The following is a 23513-nucleotide window of genomic DNA, read 5'->3' on the forward strand; positions in this document are numbered from 1 at the left end:
GACAGCACTGTTCTCTCAACTCCCTCTGTGCAGTGCTAGTGTATATGAGTGGGGGTCCCCTGATAATGTCTACTCACACAGGAGCCAGCTTGAGTCAGTGGACAGCTGGGCTGACCCTACCTGCATTTGTACTTCAAAGCTATGTGATACTTTAGTGTATTATAGGCTGCACTTGGAGGTGTGTTGTTTTGAAGACAGATTTGTGGCACAACCAGTGGAATATTCTCTGCCCAAGAGTGGCGGCTGAGGCATCTAGCTTATTAAAAAGGCCTCCAAACTGGTCTCCCTGCCTCCACCCTTGCCCCTCACAACTCTACTCTCAACAAAACAATAGAAATGATCACTTGAGAATCAAACTCTGTCTTCTCTACTCAAAAACCCTTCTATGGCTCCTCTACTCAGGCTGAAAGTCAAGGTCAGTACCATGGCCTCTAAGGCCCTTTGTGATTTGTGTCCCCTCCCCTACTCCTCTGACTTCATCTCCTCTTACTGGTCCACACTTCTGCCCCAGGGCCTTTGCATTTGCTTGTCTTTCTGCTTAAAATACTCTTCCCTATATATTTTGGGGAGCTCATTCTTCTTCTCCTTTAAATCTTTGTTTGAGTGTCATCTTTGCAGAAAGGCTTTCCTTGACCACCGATTTCGATTTAAAGTGACATCTGACTGAGCCAGAAAGAAATAGATTCCCTGAATAGATAAATAATGAGCTCTGAAATTGAATCAGTAATAAATAGCCTACCAACTAAAAAAGCCTCAGGATCTCATGGATTCATAGTAGCATTCTACCAGATACATAAAGAAGAGCTGGTATTATTCTTACAGAAACTATTCCAAAAAATTGAGGAGGGACTTCTTCCCAACTCATTCTATGAGGCCAGCATCATCTTGATACCAAAATTTGGCAGAGACACAACAAAAAAGAAAACTTCAAGCCAATATCCTTGATGAACATTGATGGAAAAATTCTCAACAAAGTACTTGCAAACCGAATCCAGCAGCACCTGAAAAGGTTAATCCACCATGATCAAGTAGGCTTCATCTCTGGGAGACAGTGTTGGTTCATGAATAAATGTGATTCATCACATAAACAGAACTAAAGACAAAAACTACATGATTATCTCAATAGATGTGGAAAAGACTTTTGAAATAATTCAACATCCCTTCAAGTTAACAAGTCTCAAAAACTAGGTATTGGAGGAGCATGTTTCAAAATAATAAGAGCCATCTATGACAAACCCACAACAAACATCATAGTGAACAGGCAAAAGCTAGAAGCATTCCCCTTGAAAACTGGCACAAGACAAGAATGCCTTTTCTCACCACTGCTATTCAACATAGTATTGGAAGTCCTAGTCAGAGCAATCAGGCAAGAGAAAGAAATGAAGGGCATTCGAATAGAAAGAGAATTCAAAGTATCTCTGTTTGCAGAAGGTATGATTCTATATCTAGAAAACTCCATAGTCTCAGCCCAAAAGCTCCTTCAGCTGAAAAACAACTTCAACAAAGTTGCAGGATACAAAATCAATGTACAAGAATCACTAGCATTCCTACACACCAACATCAACCAAACTGAGACTCAAATCAGAAAGGCAATCCAATTCACAATTGCCACACATACAAAATAAAATACCTAGGAACACAGATAAGCAGGGAAGTAAAAGATCTCTACAATGAGAACTACAAAACACTGCTCAAATAAATCAGAGAAGACACAAACAAATGTAAAAACATCCCATGCTCATGGGTAGGAAGAAGCAATATCTCTAAAATGGCTATACTGCCCAAAGCAATTTCCAGATTCAATGTTATTCCTATCAAACTACCAACTTCATTTTTCACAAGGCTAAACAAAATTATTTAAAAATTTATGTGGAACCAAAAAAAGAGCCCGAATAGCCAAGGCAATCCTAGGCAAAAAGAACAATGCAGGAGGCGTCATGTTACCCGACTTCAAACTATTCTACAAGGCTACAGTGACCAAAACAGCATGGTACTGGTACAAAAGCAGGCAAATAGACCAATGGAACAGAATGGAGACCCCAGAAATAAGGCTGCATATCTATGACCAACTGATCTTCGACAAAACTGATAAAAATAAGCAATGGGGAAAAGACTCCCTTTTCAATAAATGGTGCTGGGATAACTGGCTAGCCATATGCAGAAGATTGAAGCTGGACCTCTTCCTTATACCCTAAAATCAATTCAAAATGGATTAAAGACTTAAATGTAAAACCTCAAACTATAAAAACCCTGGAAGACAACCTAGACAATACTATCCTGGACCTAGGAATGGGCGAAGATTTCACAACAAAGACACCAAAAGCAATTGCAACAAAAGCAAAAGTTGACAAGTGGGATCTAATTAGGTCAAAGAACTTCTGCACAGCAAAAGAAACTATCATCAAAGTAAACAGACAAGCTACAGAATGGGAGAAAATATTTACAAACTATGCATCTGAGAAAGGTCTAATATCCAGCATCTATAAGGAACTTAAACACATTTACAAGAGAAAAAACAACCCTATCAAAAAGTGGGCAAAGGACGTGACCACTTTCAAAAAGAAGACATGCATATGGGCAAGAAGCATATGAGAAAAAGCTCAATATCACTGATTATTAGAGAAAAGCAATGAAAACCACAATAAGATACCATCTCACATCAGTCAGAATGGCTATTATTAAAAAGTCAAAAAATAACAGATGCGGGGGAGGTTGTGGAGAAAAGGGAATACTTTATTACACTGTTGGTGGGAGTGTAAATTAGTTCAACCATTGTGGAAGGCAGTATGGCATTTCCTCAAAGAGTTAAAAGCAGAACTACCATTTGACCCAGTAATCCCATTACTGGGTATATACCCAGAGGAATATAAATCATTCTACCATAAAGACACATGCACGCAAATGTTTATTGTCTCACAATACCAAAGACATGGAATAAACCTAAGTGCCCATCAGTGACTGACTGGATAAAGGAAATGTGGCACATACGCACCATGGAATATTATGCAGCCATAAAAAAGAATGAGATCATGTCTTTTGTGGGAACATGGATGGAGCTGGAGACTGTCATCGTTAGCAAACTAACACAGGAACAGGAAACCAAATACTGCATATTCTCACTTATAACTGGGAGCTATATGATAAGAACTTATGAACACACAGAAGGAAACAACAGACACTGGGGTCTACTTGAAGGGGGAGGGTAGGAGGAGGAAGAGAAGAAGAAAAGATAACTATTGGGTACTCTGTTTAATACCTGGGTGGTGTAATAATATGTACAACAAACCCCTATGACATATGTATATCTATGTAACAAACCTTCACATATACCCCAAAACTAAAATAAAAATTAAAAAAATTAAAAAAATTAAAATTCATGAAAAAAAAAGTGACACCCAACACTTCCTAACCCATGTCACTGCTTTATTTTTCTATTTTCTTCATTCATTCATTCATAAGTTCCATGAGAGCAGGGCTTTTTCTCTTTTGTTTTCTGCTACAGGAACAGTAAGTGCCTAGAACAATAAGTGGTGATTAAGAACTAGCTCCTTGCTGAATAAATGAAAGAATATGTGTATTATCCCAAACCATAATGTTTCTTGGTGTCAGTAACACTGGGAGTGGGCACTGACCACGTGGTCCACATGCAGAATATGCACAGCTATCCTCGCTGGTGACCTTCTTGCTTTGTGGATGTCAAAGAAAGTAGACAGCTATATGGACTCTGCCACCTGGATAACTCTAGAGGTGAGTGGTAGGGGTTATGAACAGCACTGAGGAGCTGGGAGTGGCTGTTTGTTGGGTTTCTAGCTTCAGGACAAGTTCTATGAGTTTCCTGAGCCCTCATGATCTAAAACTATGAAGCATGATGGTGCTGGGGTGAATACTCATTGTGTTGCTTGCTCGGTACTCACTATCCTAACTTTGTTCTGAAGGACCCATTTCTCCCTCACTCTGTGTGTTTCAAGTAAAATATGTACTGAAGAAAATGCCACCTATTTTTATAAATACTGTGAACTAAGAATGATTTTTATATTTTTAAGTGGCTTCAACAAAAATCAAAATAATAATATCTAAATTTCAGTGCCCATAAAGTTTTATTGTAACTTAGCCATGCTAATCCATTTATGCATGGCTGCTTTTGCTCTACAATGGTGGAGGTCAGTAGTTGTGACAGAGACCATGTGGCCTGCAAAGCCATAAATATTTACTATCTGGTCCTCTATGGCAAAAGTTTGCCAGCCTCCACCTCAGACTGTCGCTGTGGTTAGAGTCCTATGATCACAGTGGGTGGTTCAGCACAAGACCCAGGTTTAAACGTCTGGTCTTTTCTTTGAACTACTTGGGAAGCTAGCTCTAGCTAGCTAGCTAGCTAGCTAGCTCTTCTGCTGCCTCAGGTGAGAAACTGAGGATGTCAGGAAGCATCAGGCAGCCCCTAAGGATGAGGTCGTAATCAAGCTTGATTGAAACCATTCCAACTCTAGAATTTTCAGCTGTGCCAATCAATACATTTTCTTTAATCTTAAATTAGCTAGCATTTTAAGATCTTTGTTGCTTACAGCCAAAGAAACTTAACTGATAAAGTCATTTGGAAGAAATCCTACTCCAGGTATACAGGGAACAGAATTAATGAGTTCCCAAGATGATTGCCTTATGGTGGCAACAGCAGTTGCCTGGCAGAAGATAGGAAATCTGTCTTAATAGTGCCTTCTAGGACCCAAATTTGTCCTGCTCTGGTAGAAATCCTAGAAGATCAGGAATACAGGAGATGCAATTAGTGTTTAGGATCTTCATTTAACAGCACACATCTGTGTCTTCCCTTGGCATAAATACTGGGAGAATGCAGTACTCAGGATTTTTATATCCTCTTATTGGAATTACCCACATAATATATGATTTATTGCCTATAGACTTCTCAATTTCTATGTACACAATAGCAGCACTACCATATTTTTTAATTCAAATGAAATGCATGAAGATGTTTGGGTAGAAGTAATAGAAAAGTTTAGTAATGAATAATGTTTCATTATTCTGTCTATTTTCTGAACATCAGTCATTATCAAATATAGACTCATAATCAAATAATAATACATACACCTACAATATTTTGATTATGATGTTTTTAGAAACATACATCTCTTTTCCCTCCTACTGATTAATCTCCTTGCTGTTTAAGCAGCAAAGCTGCTTTCCACTCAGTATCTCAGGGAAAGGATATGACATGGTAGACAACAGAAAACAAATGAAACAACTCCCCCACACTCCCCAAATTCAGGAAACTTCCTGGCAAAAAGCTCACTCCTTTAGGACAATAGAGAGTCTCTGGGTAGAGCCAAATTATATAAGAGAAACATCAAGGGTGACTGTTGCTTTCGCCTTCTGGAGAGGAAAAGATTCCCAGGGGTTTATATAGAAAAGGAAGGGGAAAAGAGGGAACAGGGAGGATGTGGTGGCAGTGCGTTTGGATGGGTTTCAAAGAGGGAGCCCCAGTTCCATCAAGGACCTTGGAGCCCCTGGAGGCTTCTCCCTCGGGTTCTGTGGGGCCAAGGAGAGGCGTCCCCTCAATCCCACCTGGATTCCCTGCTGGATCAGCCCTAGAAGGAAGCTTCCTGGGGCTGCTCCCACTTCTGCTTAAGTGTGGCTACACCGTGGAGGGTGGGTCCTTAGGAATGTGGCAAGGGCAGCAAGATTGAGGGGGCCATAGTGGTGCGGGCATGTGGAGGGGGCACAGGCTTTGGCCCGCGGGCCTGTGTTCCTATCCCTCCCTCTGTCGTTCCCTGTGACCAATGGGCGGAGGGCCCATTCTTGGCAGAAACCCAGGGAAGTGGCAAAATTCCCAGACAGTGTTGTGAGAGCAGTAGAATGTTCACAACCTCCTACCCTTGCCCTAGCATCAGGGTTTGACAGAAAAATTAGATTGAATGAAATAAAAATATTTCTCACCCACTTGCGTTCATGGATGGAGATTGATGACCTTCTAGGTCAGACACATTTGTTTCCATTAGTGTGGAAAATCAAGAGTTGACTTCACTCCTCAGTTCTTCCAAGGGTGACAGTTAAATTTTGGCTGCACACCAGCAGCCAATGGCATGCAAGTGTTAGAGCAGGTTATCTGCATTTCATGTGCTGGATTTTGCTTCACTGCAATGCACTATTGTTCATTTTGAAGAACTGCTTTTTCTTCATTTGATTATGAAGTCCATTCTTCACTGAGAAAGGGTGAATCACTGGGTTTCATTATGGAGCTCTTGAAGTTCAGGGAGAGCGATTTTCATACTAAGTTCATTTTCTTTAACATATAACCAGTGAAATAATAGAACAAAAATACATTTATCTTTTATAATTGTTTCCCTCCTCTAAGACATAACAGTATTAACATAACAGCTATACTGCATAATTCTTCTTCAACCAAAGAACAAGAAGATTAATCTATTCTATTTATTTATAAAATCTCCTGATATTTCTGATACTGGTTTTTCCCGTCATTCACCTGGTGGAAAAAGCAAGGTGGGGAAATAAACGATGGTGACAGCTTTTTGCTGGCAATGCAGAATGAGGCCCTTGATGTTATTGTGGCCCAAGGGAAAGTGTGAGTACTATATTCATCAGCAGTTCTCAATCGGGCTATTTTGCACATTAGGGGCTATTTGGCAATTTTGGGAGATATTTTTGATTGTCAAAACTGGTGAGGTGGGTAAGGTGGAAGGTATGCTACTGGCATCTAGTGAGAAGCGAGATGAAGCTAAACATCCTACAATGCAGAAGATAGCCCCAGCCCCTGGCAAATAGTTATCTGGCCCAAAATGTCAATAATAATTCCAAGGTTGAGAGACTCTGATATAAAGTAATCAGGAAAGGAGGAAAGATCTGAGTATGTTAGGATGATTGGCAGGGTTTTTGCAGACTGAGAAGAGCCATATGGACATTTGTTGAAAAAGGGGGAAAGAGAGACACCTGAAGAGTTGGATAATTCTTTTATACTATGTAAGGCATATTTTAAAGGGCTACCGTTTTTAGAGGGTACGTTCTTACCAACTTTTTAAGGAGAGGATAAAATTCTGTGAAATCAATATTATGGTTATTAAAAGCACAAAAGGACCATAATTGTTTCATGATTTGTCTTGCTAATTTCACATACTATGATGTTTTATGTGCTGAGTGGAGATAAATGTGTAAACAAAAATACGAAGGTGACAAAGCATGGTATATTTCTACCTGGCTAGGTTGTATAGGCCAGTGAATGTCTAGGGGAAGGGTGGTCCTGGAGCCAGGTGAGAGAGATCTTGAATGGAAAGTTACAGAGTTTGAATCAATTCATTAGAAATGGAGGCAGGTGTATTATAGGGTTCTCCAGGTAAACAGAATCAATAGGGTGGGGAGGGAGGGAAAGAGAGAGAGAGAGAGAGAGAGATGAGAGAGATTTAGTTTTCAATTGAGGGAGCTGGCAAGTCCTAGATTTGTATGACGGGCAAGCTGGAGATTCAGGTCAGAGTTGATATTGCAATCTTAAGTCTGGAAACTCTTCTGCATCTGGAGGCAGAATTCTTTCTGAGGGCAGTGAGAGGCAATCTATTCCATACTTCTCACCCAGCTTCTTGTTGTTTACTGATCATTTTTGGCGTTCCTTGTAGAAACATCACTCTTATCTCTGCCTTCATCTCATATGATGTTTTCCCTCTGTGGTTGTCTGTGTATAAATTTCCCCATTTTTTTCTATAGACACCAGTTATATTGGATTAGGGCTCACCCCAGTGACCTCATGTTAACTAATTATAGCTTCCACAGCCTTATTTCCAAATAATGTCACATTATGAAATACTGAGGGTAAGGACTTCAACATATGAATATGTCAGAGGCAGACAGTTTCACCTGTAACAGGGGGTTTGCATAGAGCAGTGACATTTTCTGAATTGTTCCATGCTGGCAACATTGCCCAGTTTTCTTCTCAGGGACATCAGTTATAGGAAAATGCTATAGTGAAGGCAAATGGGACAGAATCTTAAAATATTTGTGAATCTTTGTTTTTTCTTGTTCTAATGATAATGTAAATGTAGAAAACACTAACACATTGTAAAACACAGAAAGCAAAATAGGTATTATACTGCTCAGTTATGATACTGCTCATAACCCAATTTATCAGTAATAGTATGTCTATATTTAAATATCTAAAAGGACTATTTTTTAAAAAATATGGGTCTTGCTACTTTGCCCAGGCTAGAGTGCCGTTTGGCTATTCACAGGTGCAATCATAGTTCACTGCAGCCTTGAACTCCTGGCCTCAAACAATCCCCCCACCTCAGCCTCTCAGCCTCACGCGCAGCTGGGGCTACAGGTACGCTCCACTGAGCCCAGCTATGGAATATCTATTTTTAATAAAAATGTGAATCATAGCATACGTACTGTTCTGTTATTATCCCTTGTTTTCTTTTGGACATTTTGGACACCTTTTCGTGTCAGAACATAAAGACCTACTAATTCTTTTTTATTTACTGCCTAGTATTTCATTGAATGAATGTGCTATATCTGTTTAACCAATCCCTTATTGAGTGCCATTTGGGTTATTTCTAAATTTTTACTTTTACAAGAAATATTACAGTGAATGTCATTGAACATATATCTTTGTACAGTAAGTAATTTTTTTTGCTGGGTATTTTTTTTTTTGCTGGGTATATTTTTAGGGATAGAATTGTTGAGCCAAAAGGTGTGATCATTTTAAACTATAACAGACATTTCAAATGCAAAAATGCTGCATCAAATTTTTTTCCCTCCCACTAAAAACATATGAATTAGATTAGTAATTCCTACATAGAAAGAATTAAATAGACTACACTGATAGTGTATTTAATGACACTATGCCAGCACAATAATTCCTGTAATAATCAAAGAATAGTTACCATTGTTTTATTAATATACACTTATTTGTCCTCCATAGAGCTCTTGTTAATAAATCTTAGCTTATTGCTAAGATTTGGGACTTCTTCCAGATGGAGTTTATGATTAAATGCTAATCACATTGTTACCGAAGTGTTCAGCTTTATTCATTATTTGTTTGATGTTTGCCATAAAAATTACAGCCCTTATAACCCATTATTTTGGTTTCAACTTCTCAAAATAAATTGAAATATATGTTAAAAACTTAATGTTTGATTACTGTTTAAAATGCTAAAAAATATGATCCAAAGTATCAGTGCTTAGAACTAGAAAACCCAAATAGCTTTAATCCTTTTTGGGGGCTTTCTTTTCACCCCCGTGATGTGTGGGTGTGTCAAACGTGGATTCCTTCCTGTTGTTCTGTTTGCTGGAGCAAAGAATCATGTCTTGATAAATTCACAAGACTAGTGAATTTCATCTAGTGTAATATTGAGGAGTCCAGATCATGGAGAAGGTGTGGCTAGGACTGGTACCCCCCAAATACTGTCATCTCCAATCACAATTCTGGAAAACAGTTTGATATAAGAACATCAATGAAATGGTAATTTATTACACCAGTAGAGTGGAGCTCAGCTATGGAGACACAAAGCCTGGTGAGACTTGGAAATCCTGGGCTTAGGCCGTCAGTTTCTGGGGTCTGTTAAGAGGATGCAGAGTGCCAGCCACAGAGCTGAGTGTCAGAGAAGGGCTATAGAATAGGGGAGGAGGAATAGAAGAGCCACTTGGTGTTCTTGTTGTAGGAGGCACATTAACACATCAGAAATGTTCCAACAGAGACCAAGCTAACAAACTGGAGACCATGAAATGCAGATAGTCTCTGGAGACTACACATCCAATGTCTGAATTTTCTAATTTACTTTTCAAGGCAAAGTCATTGATACCATGTTTTTCTCCACAATATTTTTGCCTGTACCAACCAAGAGATAACATACGGCACTTCCTAAAACAATACGATTGCCTTCTGGATTTTCTTCCAAATCAGTGATACCTGTTCTCCAAGTTTTGATGATGACACTGTCTTTAGCTTATCAGAAGGTGGCCATGGAAGATGCTCAGTCAACGAGCAAGATTCATATTTCTTCCTGAAATGGTTTTGAAATAGTTGTTGCGGGAAATGTGAAGGGATTGTGGTCATGCAGTCATGTCACCAGAAATAACCAAATTTATCCGCAGCTGTTGTCAGATACAATCAATAGCAAGATAAGCCTCAATTTCAAAGATATTAAAATGTGAAACTTAGAATTGAATGAATTATTAAAATGTGAATCTTAGAACTGAATGAAATATAGTAATGTGAAAAAATTTAAAATCGAATAGAGCTTTTTTTTAAAAACATGGATCTTGCTGTGTTGCTCAGGCTAGAGTGCAGTGGCTATTCACAGGTGCAATTATAGTTCACTGCAGCCTTGAGATGGCTTCATTAATTATTTCCTTTAATCATTCAGCAAATATTCACTGAACATCTTTATGTACAAGACCTTGTGGTAAAACTTGCCACCCATTTTTATTTGTTGCTTATGCCTCCTTCTAGGTTTCTTAATTAGCTTAGCTAATAGTTTATGAAATGTATTTTTTATTCCAAAGACTGAACTCTTCTATTTCTCTATTAGTTCTGCTATTTTCTATTTCATTATTTTTGTTTTAATTCTTGTTTCCTTTCTTTTATGTTTTTTTACAACTGTTTAATTTAAATGTCTTATAAACTTAGTTGTAATCTTAATTATTTAGATATATAAGTATTTAAATACATACATTTCTCTCTGCTCTAGCCATATCCTATTATTTCTATTATGTGGTATTTGAACTACTGGTATTTCCTAGATGCCTTACTATTTTGATTTAGAGTTTTTCCTTTGATGCAAAAGTTGTGTTAGAGAGAAATTAAACTTACATGTAGCAGTATATTTTGTTTTTCTAATTTTGTGATTAATTTCTATATTTGTTGTAGTAGAGGATGTTATCTACATGATTTTTACTTTCAGGAATTTATTCTTTTTTTTGTGGTTTGACATATGGTCAATTTTGAATATGTTTAATGTGTAATTGAAAAGTGCGTTGAGTTTGATTTAAATTAATGTATCTATCTTATTGATTAGGTCATTTGGCTCATTATTTTTTCTTCTACTTAATCTGTATCATGAAGAGATGACTTCGTCTCCCATATTTACTTGTGTTTCTGTGTTTCTTTTTGTATTTCTTGTTTCTATGAATTTTTTTATTATTTGTGCACAAATACTCATAACTGTTAGATTTTTATTGTGGGTTGTAGGAATTGTTCCAAAGTACCTCTCTTTGTCATATTTTGCACTTTGTGAGTTGAATTCCACATTGTCTGATATCACTATCTTGACCCTGCTTCATTTTGTATTTGCCAGGTAGGTCTTTATTGATTCTTTCAACTTTCCCATGCCGCTTTGTTTCAAACTTAGCTTTTCAGTACACCATGTTTTACTCTGTGATCTCTTTTTCTTTTATTACCTTTCTATTTATTTTCTCTAAAAGATATAGTCTTTGGTTTCTAATAGGTATTTTTAATAGCATAACATAGCTACACAGAGCATTATTTAGACTGTACATGAGTTACTTGTTTTAAACAACAATTATCCCTTCTTCCCCTGACCCCTCACCCTCCCTCACAACCACCTTCCTATTTGGATGAGTCCTCTGTACATGGCATGGCCAATGGAGTCCACAGACTGACCTGTCACTGCCATGGCCACAGCAGTTCTACATTCAAATGGATTCATGTTCACTGCCTCCACTTTTGCCATAGCTTCTTCTTCCTTTTATTGAATGGTTGAAGTTTGTTTCTTTAAGAAGTCTTCACGGGACCATAGTTCTTAAATTCATCCATGTTTGAAAATGTCTACTGTTTGTCTCTTTATGCCTGGAGAACACTTTATGCCTGGGGAAAACTTTATGCCTGGAGAACTATAAAAATCTCTGAAGTGCATAATCATTTCCCTGAAGACTTGACAGAAAGTTGAAATTTATCTGATTTTTTTCCCTTATAGATGACCAGATTCTTCCTTTATCTTTGAAATTTTATATATTCACCAGAAAAGATACATTACCAGTTTGATCGCTTTCATGCATTTTTGCTGAAACATCATGTGACATTTGAATTTGTAGATTCAAATATTTATTTAAAAATGATTTTTAAGTTATATTTTTGAGTACCTTTCTGGGTCTTATTGTTTTCTGTTTCATGGACCCTAAATAAATGTATACTTCATTTCTTTTGTCTGTCTTCCTTCCATAGCTTTACTTTCCTCTCTAGTCCTTTTAAACTCTTTTGGTTTGGCACAGTATTCTCAAGCTTGTTCTTCAGGTCCTTGAATTTGTTCTATCTGTCCTCCTTTCCGTGATATCTAAATGTGACATTCATTTTTGTGATGGTCTTATTTTCCCCTTCCATTTCCACCTAAGTTCTAGCATTTACAGAGGTGGTTCTTTCATTAAGTTCTCCTATCCAGGAGGACAGTTTAAAGTTTTCATCAGCTTCATGACAATACATTTGAGGTATGTGTTGTGGGCTTGTATCTATTTTTGGAAGAGGTTGTATTTCTTTTCTTTTTTAAGAGTGTTTTTACTTTGATCTCATGCTTTAAAAAATATCTGATCTTTGAATGAGAGAAAGTCTTTTTCTCAGCTCTTAGTTGAACTATAGAATAGTGCTATTTTACCCTAATCTGTCTCTAATATGATTATTTACAATGGTTCAAATGCATTTTCAGCAGAAAAATTGTTTTTTTGAATAAGTTCCAAACTTGCTTTCCTTATTAAAAGAAGCTAGTTGGAACTTGGGTCTGTGTGCTTAATTTTTAAGCAAAATGGAGCTTTTGCTCAAAATGGAGCTTCACTGCTTTCATTGGTTATAAAATTGAACCTCATGGGAAGTGTAAACATAAAAAGCATAAAGAAGAAAGCAAGAATCACCCATAATTTTTACCACTTAGAGATAATCACCATCATTTTGATGTATATAAGACTGTAATTTTTAAAGTATGTAAATTTATGTGACACATGTTTGTATATATAGTGTGTATACACACATACACAGATAAATGGCAGATATTTGCATGTGTGTGTATACACACACATTCATACATATATGTGTACTTAGTATATATATACACATACATGTGCTCATACTATACATACGTAATAAAGTGATCTAACTTTGCTTTTTCCCTAAAGGTCAGAGCTGATGTTCTCAAACCTTGCACAGAGGTCAGCCCTAGGGCACAAGAGCAAATTCATAGGGTGGGTGCCATGGGAATTGAAAAAAGTTTTTTCTTTATTTTCTCTAATTCTGATCCTGACCCTGACCCCAAACCCTAACCTTAACCCTAACCCTAACCCCTGGAATTTTAAAATTATTGAGAAAAATATAGTGAATGCTAGATGACCAGTTAGTGGGTGCAGCGCACCAGCATGGCACATGTATACATATGTAACTAACCTGTGCAATGTGCACATGTACCCTAAAACTTAAAGTATAATAAAACAAACAAACAAACAAACAAAAATATAGTGACATTGATATCTTTTAGATACTTTTTGAGATACTAAATGGAAGTAGTTCATTTTATAGTTCTGTCTTTAGATTGAGCTATGTTCCTTTCAATGATGTTATCTTTGCAAATCTGAGTTGATGAAATTAAAAGCAAGTAAATACCCTGTGAAAATTATCTGGGAACAGGAAACGAGGGTGGCAGTATTCATTCTAAGTCCAAGGCTTGAGAAATTGTGCAGTGCCCAACATTAAACAGATCCCATTAATAAGTAATTTGGTTAAGAATGACATAAAAATAATATTTCAATTTATGTGTATTATTTCTTTCAAGCATGGAAATCTGTGCCCGGCAAAACCCTCAATCAAATATATGGCATAAAAAAGATATTTTTAGACCCCTAAGATCTTAAAACAGTTACCTCTCTTCTAATTGGTCTAAAAACTTTCTCAGGAACCTGTTGGAGAATGTACTCCTTGGAAATAAGGAAGAAAGAGGATCCAGGGAACAGGAGTTTCACCACAGAGGAGCAGGAAAGGGAATTCCCAGTATGATGGCAAGTTGCTAAATTAAATGTTTTGCCCATTATTTTTTACTGGGCTGTTGGTCTTTTTCTTATTGACTTAAAGAACTCTTTATTATAGGAGATAAACCTTTGTTGTGTTGCAAATTATTTCTTGAAATGTTTTTACCTCTTGAATTTGTCTTTGAGTTTCTTTTTTCTTTGCTCTACAGAAACTTAAAATATTTATTTGATCAAATTGATTAACGTAAGGATAATTTTAACTCTCAGATCCTGTGACCCTATTAAGTTAGATACTATAACTTACAGAAACTAAGCCAGCTGTCTGACTTCTTCGGACTTTAGATTTGTTATCTGTAACATGACGAGTCTTCTGCTAGCTATTTGTGAAGTCCCTTCCAACTGTGATTATTGATCAGTATTGACTTCATGTGATGGGAAGCTTTTGACAACAAATTTAAATTAGCTCCTGGAAAAATTCTAGAAACAATCAACAACAGGATTTTAGATAAAACCATGATATTAAACATCATAAAACCACAAAATATACAGATTGAAGTGGCAGAAAAATTCAGTGACTACTGCTGAGACGACATGGAGAAAGAACACTTCCTCATTTTGTCTGAGGCCTGGTGATTCAACGGCTGTGTGAACGGAAGGTAGGGCATCAGCAGGCCTGGAAATATCAAACTGGTCTCTACCAAGCTTCTCACTAGCAAAAAGGAAAGAGACGGGAACTTGTTGAAACTCCCCCTGCAGCATGTTTTGGACACAAACATTTCTTATTGTTTTTTTTTCTTTTTTTTTTCTGTGAGTGACAACTCATTCACAAAAGAGAAAGGTGACCAGAGAGCTTTGAAACTCATTCACAGGCTATAGGGAACTTTCCTCACTCTCTGAGCTCCTCCTTAGCTCAGGTAGGAGATGGGGAAGGAGTAGGTGATAAAAGGGAGTTCATATTGCCATGCTTTTGCAACTCTTTCCCCTTCTCCCTAAATTGCTACCCCATGGAACTTTGGTTCATCTGCTGTCCTTATGTAATGCTCTGATCTGGATGCAGCTTTCATTAGCAATATCTGCAAACAGGAATGAGACATTGCATGCATTTGTTCTGAAATGATACTAATTTTAAAAACTATCTGCAAATAAATACAAGTGCTTCTCAACCAGTGTACATCTTTCACATTGCTTTGTCCAGAACATGATCAGTGAAACTAAATCTCTAGCCTCTGCACTAGACTCTTTTTAAATTTTTCATATTTTCCATTGCTGGTTAGTATTTGTTCTCACATGTATATAGAGATAAAAGCATCACAGCTATATAGCTTGTGAAGATTTCGTTTGGCCCTGTTGAAAATTACACAGTCAGAACCATTTCATTAGTATCAAGCCTCTGTCAAGATGTATGGTTAGAAATTGAGTAAGCTTGGAAATCCGTTGTATTTGCACACATTTGAGACATCCAGTGGGGCACCAGACTATAAAATAGCTGGCTTAGCAGACTAAATGGAGTAAATGCATTAGGTTTTTGCATTTAGAATCTAAGAGCATTTAGAATCATCATAGATGAGTTCCAAATGAGAAAAATAATATATATGCATTTAAAGCAAACTAAAACGTATTAGAGAAACTCTATGTGTTAGAGTAAATATTTTGATAGTCATTGTAAAGCTGTTTTAATAATGATTTTATATGGCCACATGATGCCAATTACTTAAACATGCTAGATATCTTTCATTGTAAAAATAATGCAAAAATGTTACAAACTATTCAAATATAAGGAAGAACACAGTGTGACTACCTTAACACACCGTTGTGTACATTTTTCTGTCCATCCTTACAGGTATTTGCCTTGTGCAGATTTTTTACATAGTTGTAGTTGTATAATTCAAGCACCTTTTTGCATTGGCTGCATTTTTACAACTTTATTTATAAAGGTAGAAATAGCAACAATCTTTACATATTTGTAGTGTAACTTGCTTAAACATTACTCTTATGTTGGATATTCTTTTATTTTCTATTAAAATATCACTACTATAAATATATATTCATATATATACACATAGAAAATAATTTTTTACTCAATTTAGATTATATTAATAGGAAGCATGATTTCAAAGTTAAAGTGTAACATATTTTTTATGGTTCTTGATACATATAGCTAAATTGCTTTTGGAAATGATTGTACATATTTAGAATGCAATTAGCAATGTATAAAACTGCCAGTTTCACTGCACCACCATCAAAACATGATTTCTTCAATAAACTATTTAATAGATTTAATACTTAATAATACCTTCCTGGGTTTTTTTGGTTTTCTTTTGTTTTAAATTAATGCCTTGGCAGAATAGGGTCAATGCTGCTGTGGAAATATAGTCATGGAGCAAGAAATTCAAGACTTTTTTTTTTTTTTTTTTGGTGTAGTTTAGCAGGAAAGGTGCAGAGAGTGTGAGAAAGAAGCCATTTCATCTGGGTGCGTGGTGAAGTATAGAAGGGTTCCTATTTAAAAATCTAGGGTTTTTCTCCTACTTTTTAAAAATTTGGCCTATTCTCCTATTTCCTTATGACTGTGTAAAGAAAAAATCCCCACCACCTGCCACTTTAATAAGAAATGTACTATTTTGTTCCAAAGGGCACTTGTTTTGCATGTGTCAGCTGAAGACAGAGGCTCATGTGAAGCTTAATCTGGACGGAACTGTGCAGTCCCTACCACCATCACAGCTCTAGAGCCATGGAAAGTCCAACAACTAATTTCTGGGCACAGTTTACTGAGGAGGAAACTTTTGATTCTATAGTCTGTCTTTGGGGACTCCAGTAGATTTTTTTGAAGTATGTTTAATAATGTCTGGTACGTGGAAGTCCTGAGACTTCAAACAGCCTCAGACCATTTGGCTCTTGGTCAGTTAGAGCAGGTGATTCAACTGCTTCTGCAATAGGTAGCAGGCAGGACACAAAAGGAGCTAGCCAAGGACTTATTGCAGTTGAGACAGGAAGGAGAGACTGCAACAGCCTGCTACCATGAAAGGTGTATGTGTGTGTGTGTGTCTGCATGTGAGTTCATTGGCCGGGGTAGTAATGGTGTTTAGGACTACATTTGTTATCTAGGTAATGTAGGGGCAAGGGAAATGAGATAGCCCTGTTTTTGTTTTCAGTGTTTTCCTTCAAGGCCTGTTTTTCTCTCTGGGTTGAGAACTAGGACCATTTTCCTGGTTACTGTTTCTACTACTTAGGGAAGTGTAGGGAGAACATACCTTCCTGTGTGTGAATTAGAGCAAAGGCCAAGTCTCTATGTGTGCATGTGCCTGCACATGCCAGTGTTCTGCATTTGAAATAGGTCTGGTGGGCCATTAAAAGGGACACGGGCTTGAGCGTTTTTGGTCTTAAAGGTAGGGGTGACTTAAGCAGTTATAGCCTTTGTAGAAAGAGTCTATAGAACCAGACACATCGAAGGTCTAGGAGAAGAAAAAATGGTTCTCCTGGGAGAACAACATTCCTGGGAGATAGTTTACCTACTAATGAAGATATGGCTGATCAGGCAATAAGAATTGAAGGAAACAACCCTTGATGGTGAAATTGGAAACCACAAGGAAGAGAAAATGATTGAAGTCATGGGGATGGTGTACTTGTCACGGAAAAGCATGTTGAAGATGGGAAGAAATAGAAACAAACTTAGATGTGGAGACCTGAGTGGAAGGAGCAAGTAGAGCAGAAACTCACAAATGTAAGGTCAGTTTTACATTTGTCACTTTAGAAAATCAGAATTAAATTTATGTTTTAGGAATTTTAGGATAAAATAAATAGGCATTCTTCTATCTTCTTAAGAGTATTGTGAGCATTATAGTAATTCAGTTTCCAGGTATATGCACCAAAGAATTGAAAGCAGGGATTTGAACAGATATTTGCACACCCATGTTCATAGCAGCATTATTCACAATAGCCAAAAGGTGGAAGCAACCCAAGTGTCCACTGATAGATGAATGGATAAACAAAGTGTGGTACATGGCATATAACCCAGTCTTAAAAGAGAGGAAATTCTGATACATGCTAAAACGTGGATGAACCCTGAGGACATTATACTGAGTGAAATAAGCAAGTCACAGAATGATAAATACTGTATGATTCCATGTAATCATAATTATATTCCATGTAATAAATACTGTATAATTCCATGCACTCTAAGTAATCAAAATTCATAGAGATAGAAAATACAATGGTGGTTGCCAAGGTCCAGGGGAAGGGGGAATAGGAAGGTAGTAGTGTTTAATAGATACAGAGTCTCAGGAAGATTAAAAAGTTCTAGAGATGGAAGATGGTGATGGCTGCACAGTAATATGAATGTACTTAATGCCACTAAACTGTATACTTAAAAATCGTTAAGATGGCAAATTTTTTGTTATGTGTATTTTACCACAATGAAAACAAGTGGAGGGCTCAAAAATATATACATTTCATAAAATTACAGTAATCTGACAACCACAGTTTTCGGACCACTAGAGTTCATTAATAGTGATTTAAATTTTTATAGCAATTGAAAAAATCTGAGATCTTTCACAAACACAAGATTTAGTTTAGTCCTTTATAGTTGTTCCTAAAGTTGTCTATTAAAATTACTTATTAAACTCCATAAACACACAAAATACAAATGTCTGGGCCCTGCCCCAGACCTATTGAATCATACTCTCCAGGGATAGATGCCAAACATTCACATCTTAACAGGTGCTTCAGAGGACCCTTATGCAGCAAAAAAATACAAGTGCCCCCCCACACCCAAATTACTCTTCCCTCTTTAGACCTGGGGGTAGGCCTCTTGGGGATCATGCAGAGAAAAGATCTTTTAAATTTTATCCTTTCAACAAATGTATGAGAGGCTAGTCTGGGGAAATAATACTTCTTAATCACCTTGATAATTTATAAAAATGCATAAGCATTTTATAAAAGGGAATAAGGGAGGACCAGTAATAAAAGATGTAATTATTGCCATCTTTGGTGAGTGGAAGTTTAGTGTCAGGTATTTGATTTAGAAAAATAAAGAAATGTGACAGTCCTACCACTTCAAGCATTGTAGAAGTATATATATGTCTGCGTGTGTGTGTGTGAAATATATATTATATATATTACTATTTTTTCCATTGCCTTTCATTAAAAAAATTTTTATTTTACTTTAAGTTCTGGGATACATGTGCAGAATGTGCAGGTTTATTGCATAGGTATATGTGTGCCATGGTGGTTTGCTGCACCTGTCAACCCGTCATCTAGGTTTTAAGCCTCACATGCATCAGGTATTTGTCCTGATGCTCTTCCTCTCCACCTCTCCCATGACAGGCCCCAGTGTTTGTTGCTCCCCTCCCTGTGTCCATGTGTTCTCACTGTTCAACTCCCACTTATGAGTGAGAACACGTGGTGTTTGGGTTTCTGTTCCCGTGTTAGTTTGCTGAGGATGATGGCTTCCAGCTTTACCCATGTCCCTGCAAAGGACATGATCTCATTCCTTTTTATGACTGCATAGCATTCCATGGTGTATATGTGCCACTTTTTCTTTATCCAGTCTATCACTGATGGGTATTTGGGTTGGTTCCATGTCTTTGCTATTGTAAATAGTGCTGCAATAAACATACGTGTGCATGTATCTTTATAGTAGAATGATTTATATTCCTTTGGGTATATACCCAGTAATGGGATGGCTGGGTCAAATGGTATTTCTGGTTCTAGATCCTTGAGGAATCACACTGACTTCCACAATGGTTGATCTAATTCACATTCCCACCAACAGTGTAAAAGCGTTCCTATTTTTCCACAGCCTTGCCATCATCTGTTGTTTCTTGACATTTTAATAATTGCCATTCTGACTGATGTGAGATGGTATCTCACTGTGGTTTTGATTTGCATTTCTCTAACCATCAGTGATGTTGACCTTTTTTTCATATGTTTGTTGGCTGCATAAATGCCTTCTTTTGCGAAGTGTCTGTTCATATCCTTTGCCCACTTTTTGATGGGGTTTTTTTTTTTCTTGTAAATTTGTTTAAGTTCCTTGTAGATTCTGGATATTAGACCTTTGTCAGATGGGTAGATTGCAAATATTTTCTCCCATTCTGTAGGTTGCCTGCTCACTCTGATGATAGTTTCTTTTGCTCTGCAGGAGCTCTTTAGTTTAATTAGATCTCATTTGTCAATTTTAGCTTTTGTTGGAATTGCTTTTGGCTTTGTTGTGATGAAATCTTTACCCATGTCTATGTCCTGAATAGTATTGCCTAGGTTTTCATCTAGGGTTTTTATGATTTTGGATTTTACATTTAAGTCTTCAATCCATCTTGAGTTAATTTTTGTATAATGTATGAGGAAGGGGAGTCCAGTTTCAGTTTTCTGCATATGGCTAGCCAGTTTTCCCAGCACCATTTATGAAATAGGGAATGCTTTCCCCATTGCTTGTTTTTGTCAGGTTTGTTGAAGATCAGTTGGCTGTAGATGTGTAGTGCTATTTCTGAGGTCTCTGTTCTGTTTCATTGGTCTATATGTTTGTTTTGGTACTAGTAACATGCTGTTTTGGTTACTGTAGCCTTGTAGTATAGTTTGAAGTCAGGTAGTGTGATGCCTCCAGCTTTGTTCTTTCTGCTTAGGATTGTCTTGACTATATGGGCTCTGTTTTGGTTCCATATGAAATTTAAAGTAGTTTTTTCTAATTCTCTGAACAATGTCAATGATAGTTTAACAAGAATAGCATTGAATGTATAAATCACTTTGGGCAGTATGGCCATTTTCATGATATTTATTCTTCCTATCCATGAAGATAGATTTTTTTTCCATTTGTTTGTGTCCTCTCTTATTTCGTTGAGCAGTGGTTTGTAGTTCTCCTTGAAAAGGTCCTTCACTCCCCTTGTTAGGAGTATTCCTAGGAATTTTATTCTCTTTGTAGCAATTGTTAACGGGAGTTCATTCATGATTTGGCTCTCTCCTTGTCTATTGTTGGTGTATAGAAATGCTTGTCATTTTTGCACATTGATTTTGTATCCTGAGACTTTGCTGAAGTTGCTTATCAGCTTAAGGAGTTTTGGGGCTGAAATGATGAGGTTTTCTAAATATAGAATCATATCATCTGCAAACAGAGACAATTTGATTTCCTGTCTTCCTATTTGAATACACTTTATTTCTTTCTCTTGCCTGATTTCCCTGGCCAGAACTTCCAATACTATGTTGAATAGCAGTGGTGAGAGAGGGTATCCTTGCCTTGTGCCGGTTTTCAAAGGGAATGGTTCCAGCTTTTGCCCATTTGATATGATATTGGCTGTGGTTTGTCATAAATAGTTCTTATTATTTTGAGATATATTCCATCAATACCTAGTTTATTGAGAGTTTTTAACATGAAGGGATGTTGAATTTTATTGAAGGCCATTTCTGCGTCTATTGAGATAATCGTGGAGTTTTTGTCATTAGTTCTGTTTATATGATGGATTAGGTTTATTGATTGGTGTATTTGAACCAGCCTTGCATCCCAGGGATGAAGCTGACTTAATCGTGGTGGATAAGCTTTTTGATGTGCTGCTGGATTCAGTTTTTCATTATTTTATTGAGGATTTTTACATTGATGTTCATCAGGGATATTGGCGTGAAGTTTCTTTTTTTGTTGTGTCTCTGCCAGGTTTTGGTATCAGGATGATGCCAGCCTCATAAAATGGGTTAGGGATGAGTCCCTTCTTTTCAATTGTTAATGGTTTCAGTAGAAATGGTACCATCTCCTCTTTTTACCTTTGGTAGAATTCAGCTGTGAATCTGTCTGTTCCTGGGCTTTTCTGGTTGGTAGGCTATTAATTACTGCCTCAATTTCAGAACTTGTTATTGGCCTATTAAGGGATTCAACTTCTTCCTGGTTCAGTCTTGGGAGGGTGTATGTGTCCAGGAATTTATCCATTTCTTCTAGATTTCCTAGTTTATTTGTGTAGAGGTGTTTATAGTATTCTCTGATGGTAATTTGTATTTATGTGGGGTCAGTGGTGATATCCCCTTTATCATTTTTTATTGTGTCTATTTGATTCTTCTCTTTCTTCTTCTTTGTTAGTCTAGCTAGTGGTCTATCTATTTTGTTAATTTTTTCAAAAAGCCACTCTTGGATTCATTGGTTTTTTTGAAGGGTTTTTGTTTGTTTGTTTGTTTCTATCTCCTTCAGTTCTGCTCTGCTCTTAGTTATTTCTTGTCTTCTGCCAGCTTTTGGATTTGTTTGCTCTTGCTTCTCTAATTCTTTCAATTGTGATGTTAGGATGTCAGTTTGAGATCTTTCTAGCTTTCTGATATGGTCATTTAGTGCTATAAATTTCTCTCTTAACCCAGCTTTAGCTGTGTCCCAGAGATTCTGGCACGTTTTCTCTTTATTCTTATTGGTTTCAAAGAATTTTCTGATTTCTGCCTTAATTTCATTATTTACCCACGAGTCATTCAGGAGCAGGTTGTTCAATTTCCATGTAGTTGTGTCGTTTTGAGTGAGGTTCTTAACAGGACTGTTTGAGTGAGGTCCTCTCACTTTTGTGATTTCAGTATTTTTGCATTTGCTGGGGAGTGTTTTCCTTCCAATTACGCGGTCAATTTTAGAATAAGTGCCATGTGGCACTGAGAAGAATGTATATTCTGTTGATTTGGGGTGGAGAGTTCTGTAGATATCTCTCAGGTCCACTTGATGCAGAGCTGAGATCAAGTCCTGAATATCCTTGTTAGTTTTCTGTCCCGTTGATTTGTCTAATATTGACGGTGGGGTGTTAAAGTCTCCCACTCTTATTGTATGGGAGTCTAAGTCTCTTTGTAGGTCTCTGAGAATTTATTTTATGGATCTGGGTGCTCCTGTATTGGGTGCATATGTATTTAGGATGGTTAGCTCTTCCTGTTGCATTGATCCCTTGACCGTTATGTAATGCCCTTCTTTGTCTTTTTTGATCTTTGTTGGTTTAAAGACTGTTTTATCAGAGACTAGAATTGCAACCTCTGCTTTTTTTTTTGCTTTTCATTTACTTGGTAAATTTTCCTCCATCTGTTTATTTTGAGCCTAGGTATGTCTTTGCATGTGAGATGGGTTTCTTGAATACAGCACACTAATGGGTCTTGAACTCTTTATCCAGTTTACCAGTCTGAGTCTTTCAAATGGGCCATTTAGCCCATTTATATTTAAGGTTAATATTGTTATGTGTAAATTTGATCCTGTTCTCATGATGCTAGCTCGTTATTCTGCACACTAGTTGCTGTGATTTCTTCATAGTGTCATTGGGCTTTATATTTTAGTGTGTTTTTTTGCAATGGCTGGTACAAGTTTCTCCTTTCTGTGTTTAGTGCTTCTTTCAGGAGCTCTTGCAAGGCAGGCCTGGTGGTGACGAAATCTCTCAGCATTTGCTTGTCTGAAAAGAATTTTATTTCTCCTTTGCTTCTGAAACTTGGTTTGGCTGGATAGGAAATTCTGAGTTGAAAATTCTTTTATTTAAGAATGTTGAATATTGGCCCTCAATCTGTTTTGGCTTCTAGGGTTTCTGCTGAGAGATCCGTGCTAGTGTTATGGGCTTCCCTTTGTA

General features: G+C 37.1%; 1 long non-coding RNA gene across 5 annotated transcripts in view; it reads left to right on the plus strand.

Annotated features, from left to right (window-relative positions):
• Positions 1-23513, plus strand: part of AHI1-DT (AHI1 divergent transcript) — a 218255-nt gene that overhangs the window by 43326 nt on the left and 151416 nt on the right. The window contains exon 4 of one of the 5 annotated variants that reach the window (NR_152843.1): positions 13902-14036. The exons of the other annotated variants lie outside the window; for them this stretch is intronic. This is a non-coding gene — a long non-coding RNA (AHI1 divergent transcript). Of the gene's footprint in view, positions 1-13901; positions 14037-23513 lie in introns of those variants that run through there. 5 annotated transcript variants of the gene reach the window in all.

This window comes from Homo sapiens, chromosome 6, assembly GCF_000001405.40.
Source record: "Homo sapiens chromosome 6, GRCh38.p14 Primary Assembly".
NCBI classification, from domain to species: Eukaryota; Metazoa; Chordata; class Mammalia; order Primates; family Hominidae; genus Homo; species Homo sapiens.